Source organism: Homo sapiens, chromosome 4 (genome assembly GCF_000001405.40).
Source record: "Homo sapiens chromosome 4, GRCh38.p14 Primary Assembly".
Lineage (NCBI taxonomy): Eukaryota > Metazoa > Chordata > Mammalia > Primates > Hominidae > Homo > Homo sapiens.
This window is the reverse complement of record NC_000004.12, coordinates 56,696,327-56,710,940: the sequence shown is the minus strand read 5'-3', so window position 1 is coordinate 56,710,940 and position 14,614 is coordinate 56,696,327. Positions and strand designations below refer to the sequence as shown.

General features: G+C 43.7%; 1 long non-coding RNA gene and 1 pseudogene across 6 annotated transcripts; one reads left to right on the top strand and one right to left on the bottom strand.

Annotated features, from left to right (window-relative positions):
- RPL17P20 (ribosomal protein L17 pseudogene 20) lies at nucleotides 295–901 on the bottom strand (annotated as a pseudogene).
- Nucleotides 6,321–14,253, top strand: CHAER1 (cardiac hypertrophy associated epigenetic regulator 1). Of its 6 annotated transcripts, none has more exons than XR_001741703.1 (5): nucleotides 6,321–6,430; nucleotides 7,195–7,370; nucleotides 8,539–8,627; nucleotides 10,678–10,753; nucleotides 13,055–13,724. It is a non-coding gene; the product is annotated as a cardiac hypertrophy associated epigenetic regulator 1 (long non-coding RNA). The 6 variants fall into 6 exon arrangements; XR_001741702.3 differs by lacking the exon at nucleotides 6,321–6,430 and adding an exon at nucleotides 6,522–6,757 and having other exon boundaries at nucleotides 13,055–14,253; XR_001741701.2 differs by lacking the exon at nucleotides 6,321–6,430 and adding an exon at nucleotides 6,961–7,037.
- The last annotated feature ends 361 nt before the right edge of the window (nucleotides 14,254–14,614 follow it).

The window sequence follows — 14,614 nt, the reverse complement described above, 5'->3', positions numbered from 1 at the left end:
AAATTTCATGCAACCTCTGAAAAGAAAGGTTTAAATCTATAAACATTGCCATGAAAATAACAACTTAAAGGTGGTATATATAATATTCTTCTGTTGTTGTTTGGTTTGTGGTTAAAAAAGAAAAGAAAATAATAATATAATGGGCTAGTAAATGTATAAAAATAAAAGTGGGGAGGTAGGGGGAGAGGAGAAATACACACCAAACAGTTGTAGTGAGGATCTTGAGTGGCGTGGATGAAATTATGGAGAATTTTCCCATTTCTGTAGTGTTCATATTATTATTATTATTATTAGTCCTTTTAATTGCATTTATTTTAATGCTGAATTTACTCCTGTGCCATAAGTTTTTGTTTCTTCAGTTTCTTCTGGGATATCTTTTTCTTCTGGGTAGCCTCCTTTTCTGGTCTAGGAACAACCTGTTCATTTTCAGTAAGGATCTTCTCTGTGTGGCAGGGGGAGCTCATGTATGGGTTAATCCAACCATGAGCTCTGTAGGTCCAGGGGCGCATCTTAGGTGCTTTGTTTACTCGGTTATACTCAATGACCAGAGAATCTACATCTAAACCCTTGAGTTCAGCATTACTCTCTGCATTTTTAAGCATGTGCAACAAAAATTCAGCACTCTTTGGGGGCCACTGACCTTGTGTCCAGCCCCACTGCGTGGCCTGGACACACCTGCTAACTCCACCATTGTAACATCAGAATGGTACGCACTGTTTCTGTAAAGTGATATCTTTCAGATACTTCGTGGCTTTTCATATACGCATACCCTTGATGACCTCGGTAGTTTCACGAGTGTTCTTAAGGTGAACACGAAGACTGGAACCTCTTGATTTGCATGATTTTGTGGGGTTCTCCAGGTCACATGAATAGCGAACCATTTTCACAGATTATCTCAGGCCACTTAGGGAAAGAGAGCGTGTTAAAATTATTACAAACTGTAAAACTTCGTAATAATAAGAGCCAATATTTTATTGAGGGCTTCTACCAAACACTATCCTCTGTTCTTGGCATGCATTACTGCCTTTAGTTATCTCAGTTGTCCTTTGAAGCAAGTTCTGTTATTTTCTGTGAGGAATATGAGGCATAGGTGATGTTGAGTGTCAGACAGCAAGACAGTAAGTGGTGGAGTTAAAATTCAAACCCAGATCCTGACTCAATAGCCACTATATTCTGGGGGTTCACACACACACGCACACATTCTCACACACACAGAGTGCAGTTAAAATCTTTACAAGGGCAATTACAAACAATAAAAATGCCAACAATATAATATTATCTGAAAAAGTGACCCACAAAATGTGTGTGCACTGTGATTTGTGATTGTTCCATACATAATATGCATCTGCAAAAGGACTATAATCATCTGCATGATGGCAATCTTTTTTTTATTTGTCAAATTGCAAAAGTAGGCACCAACCATGAGCCGAGAGTTGAGCTCATTCATACACAGTTCAGATGGCCCGGCTGGATCAGCTTTCCTCTTTCCTACACTACCACCCTGGGCTCATCATGCCACAGCATCATTGTCAGTGTCACTGTTAGCCTCCCCAAACAGTACTACAAATTTTTCAGGGAATCAAGGATCAGAGAAGTAAAGTGTCTTGGACAAGGGGGCACAGTGAGTAAGGAGCCAAGCATAGATTTAACCCAAAGATTTTCCAGGTTTGGCTCCAGTTTTTCTAACTCCTACTACAGTTGCTGTTTCATTTCATCATATTTCTTCCTCCTCTAAGAACAGGAGGCTATTCTCTCATGTTCTTCTCTGAGTTTCTCTCCCTCCCCCAACTCCTCCTCCCTCTGCACCGCTCCTTTCTCTCTCCTAACCTGGCTCCACTGCTTCATTGCCCTGCACATGCCCACATTGGCCACCCTGGCTCACAATCCACATAATTTAGTATGCACCTGAACTTCACTCTGCTTACATTCCAACTCATGTATTCAAGTCAACCCCTGCATCACATGGGTGTTAGTCAATGAATTCTGGTAACACTTGGGCCTATTTTCCATCCCAATCTATACTAAAATATATCTATTACAATGTTTCTTGCTATTACCACAGAAAATTCTATTTATCTATGGTACAAATTTCCACAGATTTTTAACAATAGCTTTGTTGGAATCCACTCATAAAAAATTAAAGGGAGGTGGCCAGGCATGGGGACTCACCCCTGTAATCCTAGCACTTTGGGAGGCCGAGGTGGGTGGATCACCTGAGGTCAAGAGTTCAAGACCAGCCTGGCCAACATGGTAAAACATGGTAAATCCCGGTCTCTACTAAAAACACAAAAATTAGCCAGGTGTGGTGGATGTCTGTGATCCCAACTACTCAGGAGGCTGAGGCAGGAGAATTGCTTGAACCCAGGAGGTGGAGGTTGCAGTCAGCCAAGATTGCGCCACTGCACTCCAGCCTGGGTGACAGAGAGAGACTCCATCTAAAAAAAAAAGAAAGAAAAAAGAAAAATTAAAGGGATGAGATCATCAGAATGGAATTTTTAATTGTTGAGGGAGAACTAGAAGAGAATAAAATCTCCAAGCATTATTAAACGCAGAGTTGCAGATACTCTACTTCAAAGGATTTTGGACAAACTGCCAGGAGGTCAAACATTTCCAGCTTCAGTGGAAACAATTTAGCTAATTTCCTAGAAAAGAAAGCACATAGCTAATCCAAATCTGCTAATTAATCTAATAGAACACACTGGCTCTTGATGGCATTTTCCCTTTTGGGAGAAGAAAAAATAACCCTGCTATTATAAATTAATGTTTTCTTAAACAGACAGACTGAAATTTACTGCAGCTCTTCAGGGATTTTCAGCTTCAATAAGCCAGTGGGAAAGTTCTCCCTTGCTTGCATACATATGCTCTGTTGCCCCATTGGCAGAGGCCTCCCTCCCTTACTTTCCCTTCTTCCTCTCTTCCTTCTCCTTTCCTTCTTCCCTTCCTCCTTTCCTTCATTCCTACAACAAATACTTATTGAACACCTACTGCATGCCACACACTGTTATGTCCTAGTGTACAGCAGTGAACAAAAAGTACTAAATAAATATGTTAGATATGTTAAGTACTTTGGGGAAATACGAAGCAAGAAGGGGTCCGGGAGTGCTGGTGGGGTGATATGGCTTGGCCACATCCCCACCCAAATCTCATCTTGAATCCTCACCCATAATCCTCAAGTGTCACGGGAGGGACCCAGTGGGAGGTAATTGAATCATGGGGGCAGTTACCCCCATGCTGTTCTCATGATAGTGAGTGAGTTCTCATGAAATATGATGGTTTTATAAGGGGCTTTTCCTTTTTTGCTTGGCACTTCTCCTGCTGTTGCCATGTGAAGAAGGACACATTTGCTTCCCCTTCCACAGTGATTGTAAGTTTCCCGAAGCCTCCCTAGCCATGCTGAACTGTGAATCAATTAAACCTTGATAATTTCTTCATAAATTACCCAGTCTTAAGTAGTTCTTTATAGCAGCATGAGAACGGACTAATACATGAGGGCACTCTGAGATTTTAAATAAATGGCCAGGGAGGACTAATTAAGAAGGCAACATTTGAGCAAAAACCCAAGCAGGTGAGGGAGGAAGATTTGCAGATATCTGGGGCAAAACCAACCGGAAAAGCGCTGCCACTGGAGTGTGGCTGGAAGTTTGAGAGCAGCAAGGATCAGGCTTGGAATTAGAGGGAGGCAGAAGAGGCGAGTTGAGCAAGTGCAGGGTTGGATCTTGTCTTTCTTTCAAATTTTTATGATTTGTATATCATGGATTTTTTTCACATTAATTTTGATGTTGCATTAAAATATTACTGATCTTGACTACTGAGGTTTTGGCATCTTGAAGCAAGTACTCACTAGCTTCACTCTAGTTCAGGCCCAGGACCCGAAGTAGGGGAGTGGAGCAGGGGTGAGGGTGTGAGTTAGGGAGAGTGGTAGGAAATGAAGTCAGAAAGGAGCAGGGGAAGATGCTGAGGAGCTTGGCTTTTACTCTGAATAGGATGGGAAGTCATTGAAGGGCTGTATTCATTTGCTGCCATAACAAACTACCATGAATTTAGTGGTTTAAGCAACACAAGGCTGGGCGCAGTGGCTCACGCCTGTAATCCAGCACTTTGGGAGGCCGACGGGGGCAGATCACGAGGTCAGGAGTTCGAGACCAGCCTGACCAACATGGTGAAACCCCGTCTGTACTAAAAATACAAAAATTAGCCAGGTGTGGTGGTGGGTGCCTGTAATCTCAGCTACTCAGGAGGCTGAGGCAGAAGAATCACTTGAACCCAGGAGGTGGAGTTTGCAGTGAGCCGAGATTGAGCCACTGCACTCCAGCCTGGGCAACAGAGCAACACTCTGTCTCAAAAAAACAAAACACAACAAAACAAACCCACAAATATGTTATCTTACAGTTCTATAGACCAGAAGTCCAACACAGGTCTCACCAGGCTAAAATCAAGCTGTTAACAGGGCTGCTTCCTCACTGGGAGCTTTAGATGGGAATCTGTTTCCTGCTCATTAGGTTTATTCACAGACTTTAGGGCCATGCAGTTGTAGAACTGAGGTCCCCTTTCCCTTGTAGTTGGCTGGTGGTTCCCTTCCTCCATTTTCAAAGCCTGCAATGGAGGGACAGGCTCTTTTCATGTCACATTCCTCTGACCCATTCTTCTGTCTTCCTCTTCTACTGCTGACAATTCATGTGATTAGACTGGGCTCCCCTGGATAATCCAGGATACTCTCCTCATCTCAAAGTCCATACCCTAAGCACATGTACAAAGTCCCCTTTGCTATGTAAGGTAACATATTCACAGGTTCCAAGGATTAGGATGTGAACATCTTTGAGGAACCATCATTCTGTCCACCACAAGGGCTTTGAGCAATGGAGCAACTGCTCACTCTGCAGCCAAGAATGTGTCAGTCTAGTTGCTCTGTTGAAAATAGTTGGGAGTGGGAGGAGGAAGGCCAGGGAGGATAGGGCAAGAAGCAGGAAGCTGGTGTAGAGGCTAACACGATAATTCAGGGGACAAATAATGGTAGTTTCAACCAAGGTGGGGGGTGACTCTGGAAGAGTCAAGGCTAGATAAGGTGACAATAGGTTTTAGGTGTCAAGTTGGCTAAGCTACAGTCCTCAGTTATTCAGTCAAACACTAATCTGGGTGTTGCTGTGAAGACATTTTACGGACATGATTAAAGTCCCTCATCAACTGACTTTCAGCCAGGGAGATAATCCTAGATTGAAGGTGGGCCTGATCCAATCCATTGAAAGGCCCTAGAAGAGCTGAGCGTTCCCTGATGAAGAAATTCTGCCTGTGGATGGCAATTCCGCTCATGCCCAGGAGTTCCAACCTGCTCTTTCTGACGGTGTGCCCTATGGATTTCCCACTGGCCTAACCAGCCCCATGATTATGTGAGGCAGGAGAATCGGGCCTGGAGGCAGGGAACCTCAGGGCTTCCTAGAACTAAATCAAATGGAAACACTTCAGCTATGACAGGAACTACACTCGTCATTTACATAGAATGTACACCAAATACATAACTTTGTAACCTCACTTTAGCCTCTTCATTTACATAGGGCGTACACCAAGTAACCAATGGAAACCTCTAGATGGTATTTAAACCCCAGAAAATTCTGTAACCGGGCTCTTAAGCCCCTATGCTCAGCCGCTCCCACCCTGTGGAGTGTACTTTTGTTTTCTATAAATCTCTGCTTTTGTTGCTTCATTCTTTCCTTGGTTTGTTTGTGTGTTTTGTCCAATTCTTCGTTCAAGATGCCAAGAACCTGGACACCCCCAACTGGTAACATATGTAGGGCAATTCCTCTTAATATGACTCTCCTACTGGTTCAGTTTCTCTGGTTGAACCCTGACTGATACATCCTGAATAAGTTTGAATGTGGAGCTGACCGGCTAAGCTAGTGTATTGGAAGTGGGATGTGAGAAAGTGGAGTCCAGGATGATGCCAAAGTTTTTGCCCCGAGCAGCCAGAAGGATGGCTTAGGTATCTCCTTCTAAGGTAGGAATCACGAATGCAAAAGCCACCTACAAAAGCCTGTTCAAGGGATGGCAAAGGAAGATGCCCAGTTTCCCCCAAGGAAGCCCTTTCAGACGGGGGATGTGTATAGGCAGGAATGGGTTGGAGTGGCTGGCCAGCCCTGATGTGGGCAAGCTCCAATTTAAGGGGGTGAAATAGGTAATAAAGTCACTGCTGTGCTCCATGCCACTCATCCAGAAACACTAGTGGTTTTCCAGTGCATTCTGGAATCCTCAGGAAATCTGGAGATCTTTTTACTGTTCTCTGCTGTGAACCCCACCTCCCCTGCTGCTGTGTGCTCTGGGAATGAGTTAGCTGAACCCTGAGCCAAAAACCAACAAGGAGTGCTGAATAGAGACTTTATGGAGTTGCTCTGTGGGCTTTTTTTCTTGTGAAGGAACAGGGTGTGCTTGAAAGTAAAAAGTGAGTTATTTGGTGTTGTTGTTGTTGTTATTGTTGTTTAAATCTTCCTGGAAGGCAGAAAGAAAGAGATAAAAAGGAAAAAACAGCATTTGTCACTTATAGTGCTCTGGTTAGCACAGTAGCTGGGCCCCTGAACCCTCTACAGGCCTCCCAAGCTGGCACTGAATAAAATGTGAGAAATGAAAGGAACTTTTCCGTGAGTCTGGCAGCGCCGACAGACACTGAGGTGGCAGAGCTGTCTGGTCCCAGTCCACATGCAGAGGCCTGCAGCTCCTCCTTCCAGCCCGCACCCACCAGAGCTTCTCAGACGGGCCGTGTCCTGAGAAGGTTGTTGCCAATGTAGATGTTTGAGAGGCTCACTGATGAACAAATCAACAGAGCAGATTTAATCTGAAGAGATCCAAATATTGTGCTTCTTTGGACTCATAGAAATGGCGAAAGATTTAACATCAGGAAGTACTTAAGTCAGCTAATTTCTAGAGCCTTCTTCCTCCCTGTCACTTGATTCTAGATAGGATCACCAGTTAGACATCAGAACCAGATCTTTTTATCCAGAGAAGTACCAGTTTGTTGTTTTTCCTTCCGAAGCCAAGTCCTCGAGTTTCAGGTAGACTTCAGTTGATTTCTGCGAGGTCTTTGCTTTCTCTCTGCCAGAATAATCACTGCTGAGGTAACTGCAGACAAGGTCCTTAGCACCTTAGATCAGTATAGGAAAGAAAATGAAAAATGTTTGTCTCACCTCTTTTTGCTGCTGATCTCTACAGGAAAGCAAAAAGCCCCGAAGAGCCTGGCTTGGAATAAAAACATGCACCATACAAGATTTTTATGAAGATTAAATAACTTGGGCTAAAATATTCTGGAAGCTGCCAAGGGCTCTACAGATGAGCTATACAGAGGCATTTGCTGAAAACTGGCCTGGATTGACAAGCGCAATGCAAACGTAAGGAGCTGAACAGCCTCTGCTGTCCCGGGGGGATGGCAGCCAGACAAGGCATGTACAATACTGGGATGATGAGAAAACGGGTGTCTCAAGAGGAGACTAGAAGAGATTCTTGGCCCAGCAAAAAAGTTAAAGAGGGGGAGAAACTGCAGGTATTAAAGTCAAAAGTAATAGTGATGTCAGATCTGTAAGGTTTCTCCTTTCTATTCACTAGGACTGTAGATGTATGAGAGACACATTCAGGGTTAAGGTCTCATTGGAGGGCACATCCCAGAGGCCTGTGGGAAACCAACCCAGAGGGGTCCTTGTTACCTGCATCTCAGAGCACGCATGGGGTGACAGACATGCAGAAGTAGGGGATCTGGGGAGTATAGGGAATTTTGGTTTCTAGATGTATTTCCAGACTTTCCAATGGCCAAACTTCTTTTCTGATAATCTGGTGGTATGCAGGCTAGCAAGAGACTTGAATTGGCCATGTCTGTCTCACATTTCAGCTATTCCCAGGAGTGCTTGGCAAAGGAAAATGTGGGTGAACAGTTTGACAGCAAATTGCCTTGGAAGCCTGCAGAAGGGTGTACTCCTAGGGAGGATGATAATAAAGCTAGTGTGTACTTATTGATTATTATGATGTGGGCTAGGCACTGTTCTAAGTACTTTATGTGTGTCAATCCTTTTGATCCTCAGTACAATCCTATGAAGTAGGATGATTGTTTTTCCCTTTTAATGGATAAGGAAGCTGAGGCACAGAGTAGTTAAATAATTTCCCCAGGTCATACAGGTAAAGCCAGGTTTCGAACTCAGATGGCCTAGCTGCATCATCTTCCAGTAAGTGGATAGAGCATACTTTCCAATCAGAAAATGGAGCAGTAACATGCTAACAAGGGTGAGTATTTGTTTGGACTAAGGTGGACTGTAAAGATAGGATGTTACAGCTTAGAATGCTAAAATGCTTTTGGCTACTGGATCAGTAAGGATGCTTTTGGCCACAAGTAACAGAATAACTAAACAAAAATAGTTAAACAGTAAAGACTTATGATTTCACATAGCAATAAGCCTGGATGCAGTCCAACATTTTAAGGTCAGGGATGTCATCAAGAATCCAGATATTTTCCATCTGTTGACTCTGTATTCCTCAGTATGTCTGCCATGTCTCCCTCACACTTACAAGGTGGCTGCGGCAGTTCCAGGCATCACATGGTAACAAGATCACATCCAGTGAAGAAGGAATTCTCATAAGACAGTCAGCAGATTTTGCAGGTAAATTGGACAAAATCAGTCTTATATCTATGTCCTAGCCTCAAGGGAGCTCAAAATGTGAATAGCTAGAATTCTCAACTCTATAGAAAGAATAAGCTACTCCAGCAAGTAAGAAGAAGGTAGGGTGAGAGGTGTTGGGCTACTGATTTGACCACTTACTTACTATATTTCTTTTTCCCTTTTATTTACTTTTAAGGTGAAGATACACAAAGGATAGATCAAGGTCATGATTTAATGCAGATGGCTGAATTATGACCAAAAAAACATCCATAGTCAGCTCCAGTCATATTTCTGACCTGAGGCTGGGCTTAAGGTCTACACAGCTGGAAACATCCATTTCTGATGCCAGCTACATCATTCCCTGATGAGAACAGTGCCAGCAGTGAACCCCTCACCACTCCCCACACCCAACCCCCACCTCAGTGTCCCCAGGGTATTATCAGTTGTGTCAGCCTAGAGTCTCTGAGTTTGGTCTGGCTCTGCCCCTCCCCCATCCGTTTAGAAAGAATCTATTTCTGTTTCTCTCTCTCTCTCTCTCTCATGCCTCAATCTCATGTCCTCCTGCTGACTCTAAAGAGACAGCTGATTGTGGGAAAGATTTAAATTGGGTTATTCTCTCTTAATATAATTTTTGTAAAATACTATAAATGAATTTCTTCATGGCCGCCAAAGAGAAGTGCTGCTATTTCTAGCACCAGACTGACAGGAATGGTGCCTGTTAGGATTAAGTTAAGCTGCAATGGGAACATTAAATATGGCTTAAACAAGACTGGGCTGTATTTCTTGCTCATATAAAAGTCCTGGTATTGTCACCAGAAAGGGGTCCTGATGCAGACCCCAAGAGTGGGTTCTTGGATCTTGCACAAGAACCAATTCAGGGCGAATCCACCAAGTAAAGTGAAAGCAAGTTTATTAGAGAAGTAAAGAAACAAAATAATGGCTACTCCACAGACAGAGCTGCCCTGAGGGCTGCTGGTTGGCTACTCTTATGGTTATTTCTTGATCACATGCTAAACAAGAGGTGACTTAATCATGAGTTTTCCCAAAAAGGGGCAGGCAATTTCCGGAACTGAGGGTTCTTCCCCTTTTTAGACTATATAGGAAAACTTCTAGACGTTGCCCTGGTATTTGTAAACTGTCACGGCATTGGTGGGAGTGTCTTTTAGCATGCTAATGCATTATAATTAGCATATAATGAGCAGTGGGGACCATCAGAGGTCACTTTTGTAGCCATCTTGGTTTTAGTGGGTTTTGGCTGGCTTCTTTACCGCATTCTGTTTTATCAGAAGGGTCCTTGTGACCTGTATCTTGTGACAGGAGCCCTGCTCACCTCCCATTTCATCCTGTGATTAAGAATGCCTAACTTCCTGGGAATGCAGCCCAGTAGGTTTCATCTTCATTTTACCCAGCCCCTATTAAAGATGGAGTCACTTTGGTTAGAATGCCTCTGACAGTGTAAGCAGCTTAGGCTGCTCTGGGGTTCTGCTTTGTGGCTGTATCACAGTCCACAGAAGCCCTTCAGTCATCACATCTGCCTTCCAAACAGCAGGATGGGCGAAGGGGAGATGACAGGCCAAAGAGCATATGCCTCCTCTCATTTAAGGAAATTTCTTGGAAGTTATCACACAGCATTGCCACTTACATTCTGTTGGCCAGAACATAGTCACATGGACACATCTTGCCACAAGGGCAGCTGGGAAATAGCATTGTATTAGTCAGGGTTTCCCCAGAGAAAGAGAACCAATGGATGTGTGTGTGTGTGTGTGTGTGTGTGTGTGTGTGTGTGTGTGTGTGTATAAAGATGATAAGGAATTGGCTCACATTATTACAGAAGTTAGCAAATCCAAAATCTGCAGGGTGAACAGGCAGGCTGGAGACCCAGGAAAGGCTGGTGTCCTAGTTCTAGTCCTCTGTAGAATAAGAAACAGCCAGTGCTGCAGATGAAGTCTGAAGGCAGGCTGCTGGAGAATTCTCTCCTCAGGGGAGGAAAATAAAATATTCTATTTTATTCAGGCTTTATGATCTATTCTTTTCTTTTTGGTCTATTCAGGTTTTCAACTGATTGGATGAGGTTCACCTACATTATGGAGGACAGTCTGCTTTACTCAAAGTCCATCAATGTAAATGTTAGTGTCATCTAAAAGTACTCTCACAGAAAGACCCATAATAATGTTTACCCAAATATCTGGGCACACTGTGGTTCATCCAAGATGACACATAAAATTAACCATCATGGACATCTTAATTTGAGGCAGCCAGTGTGTCTGCACTCTAGGGGAAGGGTCGGCAAACTACAGTCCACAGGACAAATCTGTTTTTGTAAGTAAAGGTTTTGGGAATTCAGCCACACTTGTTCATGTACATATTGTCTATGGCTGCTTTTGCAGTACCATGCCAAAACTGAGTGTTCTAATGAGACCATATGGCCTACAAAACCGAAATTTGACTCTGTCTGTACAGAATGGCTGATCCCTGTTTTAGGCAGTTATGTGCCCAGCTAAATACTGGGATTATTTAGAGAGAGAGAAAGGAAATTGTGGTAGGCAGATAGCAATCTTGATCCACAGCAGCATAAAGGACTTGCTGCTGAGATCTTCTAAGAAATCTCCCAGCCATTCAGCAGCAATTTTTTTGTGCAATCTATGAGATACTGAAGGAATTACAAAGAAGTACAAGCCATTTCCCCCAATCTCAGGAACTTAGTGGATTAACTTTGTGGAAAGCAATGGTCTTTGGACCCAGAGAGGGCTGAGTTTAGGCTGAATTATTAGCCATGTGATCAAACTTCTCAAAACTTCAGTTTTCTCATCTCTAAAATGAGCATGGCCCTATTACCTCATCAGGTTGCTGTATAAATTAAATAAGGTCATTTATATGGTGTCTAGCATATCATAAACCCTTTCTTCTTGTCTGATAGTGAAAACAATGATAACTAATAGTAATTAAACTTTATCTGTGTGCTGGGCTCTAGGCAAGGGTTCTTCATGTATTAACTCATTTAATCCTCACAACAGCTCTTCGAGGTAGGAACAATCATTATCCCCATTGTATGAATGAGAACATTGAGAGATGAGGTATCTTGGCAAAGAGTGCCTAGTTAGAGCAGAGCTGTGATTCAAACCCAGCTTGCCTGATTTCTGATCCCAAGAGCCTGCCCGCCAGTCTGTCCCACAGCCTTCCCATGTCAGAGCCCTCCTGCCATCATCTCCTTCCCCCTCTGGCTGTAAGACATTCACAGTGTAACTGAGAAAGCAGAGCACATTCAAATAAAAAACAAATTCATAACATAAGGCAGTGGAGGTGAAGTGCCAAGTGAGCGGTATCACTTAGATACTGAGAGGTTCCAGTCCCCCAGAGCGGTCAGGGGAGGTATCAAAGCAGGGATGGGGCCAAATTGGGTCATGATGGACCTACAGGATTTAGAAGACAGGAAGACACTGTGCAGCCATAGGGAGTGGAGTGGGCAAGGCTTGGAGGTGGGAAAGAAATAGCACAATTAAGGAATAACAGGTAAATAATCCTGGCTAAATCACAGGATTCTTACCGGGAGTCCAGAGAGAGCAATTTGGAAATGAAGATTAGAATTAAATGAAGGAGCTTGAATGTCTGTCTAAAAAGCTTCACTGTATTCGGTAGACACTGAGTAGTCATTGGAAGGTTTTGAATGGTGAAATCACATGATGGCAGCAGTGTCTTTAAGAATAATGTGGTGGTTTTGGGAGTGATGACTGAGGCCCAGAGGCTGGGAGACTAGTTGAGAGGCTTTTGAAATGATCTAGACATGACGTAATGAGAACTTGAAGTGGAGTGTTAGCACAGGCATGGATGGAATGGCAGGAAGGTAGGAGACATCACATGAGCAGAACCGGGGCACTTGGTGACTTCGTCTGGGAGTGAGGAGGGGGAGGGGCAGGATGACTGCCAGGCTTTCAGCCTGGGTGATGGGAGAATTTTATTCTAAATAGAAGCAGAAGAGGTAAAGGGGAGCTCCATCTGCCACCCCACCTCCATGAGGTCTCTGTCTCCACTGAGCATCTTCACTTACTAGCCGTCACCAGATACCTGTGAGCAGCCAGCCATCTCCTCTTTCTTCTTTGCTGCAAGGTGCCACTTCCACCAGAGAAGAACCTAGGGCAGTGAGGAAGCATGGCCTTTGGGTCAAAGAGGTAGAATTTATATCTGCTCCATCCGTCACTGGCACTGTAACCTTGAGCACATCTCAACTGCCCTGAGATTTAGTCTCTTTAAACTAGGGATGACAATACCTACTTGATAGAGTACTTGCGAATTATATAACAAACTCAAATCATTTAGTATTGCGTCTGGCACGAAGTAGATGCTCAATCATAATGGCTAACACACTGTGCTTGAAACAGGTACTGCTTTAACTGCTTTACATCGATTCACTTGTTTACTCCTCTCAACAGTCCTGCAAGGTGGATATCACTCTCACCTTCAGCGCACAAAGAAAGGAGGTATACAGAAGACACAGAACTCACCAAAGTCACAGGAACTAGGTGAGGATGAACCAGGCTGCATCCAAGCAGCCCAGCTTCAGGGTCTGTATTCTTTGCCACTACCCAGAACTTTTACCAATAAGCAAAGCTATTGTTTGCAATAACAGGAAGCAAAAATAGCAAAAAGTTCCCTTTAAGGGGGAGTGTTATAATATACTTAACAATCAGAATGGCTGAAGCACTGATCTGTGAGAGTGGCTACTGGTCATAGCCTGGAGCTGGTCTTTTAGGTCCTCTTTGGTTACTGGATCCTGGGAGGATGGATGAGGAAGTGGTCTCAGGCAAGGGGTGGAGTTAAGTGGCTGTGGAAGGTACTTTGGAGGCTCAGGCAGCAGCTTTTTTTCCCCTTAAACTTTTGTTTTAAGTTCTAGGGTACACGTGCAGGATGTGCAGTTTACATAGGTAAACGTGTGCCGTGGTGGTTTGCTGTACAGAACAAACCATCACTCAGGTATTATTAAGCCCAGCACCCATTAGCTATTCTTTCTGATGCTTTCCCTCTCCCAACTTCCACCCGACAGGCCCCAGTGTGTGTTGTTCCCCTCCCTCTGTTCTCATTGTTCAGCTCCCACTTATAAGTGAGAACATGTGGTGTTTGGTTTTCTGTTCCTGCGTCAGTTTGCTGAGGATAACAGCTTCCAGCTCCAACTATGTCCCTGCAAAGGACATGATCTGATTCCTTGTTATGGCTGCATAGTATTCCATGGTGTATATGTAACACATTTTCTTTATCCAGTCTATTGTTGATGCACATTTGGGTTGATTCCATGCCTTTGCTATTGTAAATAGTGTTGCAATGAACATACATCTTTATATATGAATATATGTATCTTTATAATAGAATGATCTATATTCCTTTGGGTATATGCGCAGTAATAAGATTGCTGGGTCAAATGGTATTTCCGCTTCTAGATCTTTGAGGAATCGCCACACTGTCTTTCACCATGGTTGAACTAATTTACATTCCCACCAACAGTGTAAAAACGTTCCTTTTTCTCCACAACTTTGCCAACATCTGCAGTTTCTTGACTTTTTAATAATTGCCATTCTGACTGGCATGAGATGGTATCTCATTTTGGTTTTGATTTGCATTTCTCTGATGATCAGTGATGTTGAGCTTTTTTTTTTTTTTTTTTTTTTTTGAGACGGAGTCTTGCTCTGTCACCCAGGCTGGAGTGCAGTGGCACAATCTCGGCTCACTGCAACCTCTGAGCCCCCCTCCCTCGGGTTCAAGTGATTCTCCTGCCTCAGCCTCTTGAGTAGCTGGGATGACAGGTGCCTGCCACCGTGCCCAGCTAATTTTTGTATTTTTAGTAGAGACGGGGTTTCACCATCTTGGCCAGACTGGTCTTGAACTCCTGACCTCGTGATCCACCCGCCTCGGCCTTCCAAAGTGCTGGGATTACAGGCATGAGCCACTGCGCCTGGCCTGAGCTTTTTTTTAATGTTTGTTGGCCGCATTAATGTTTT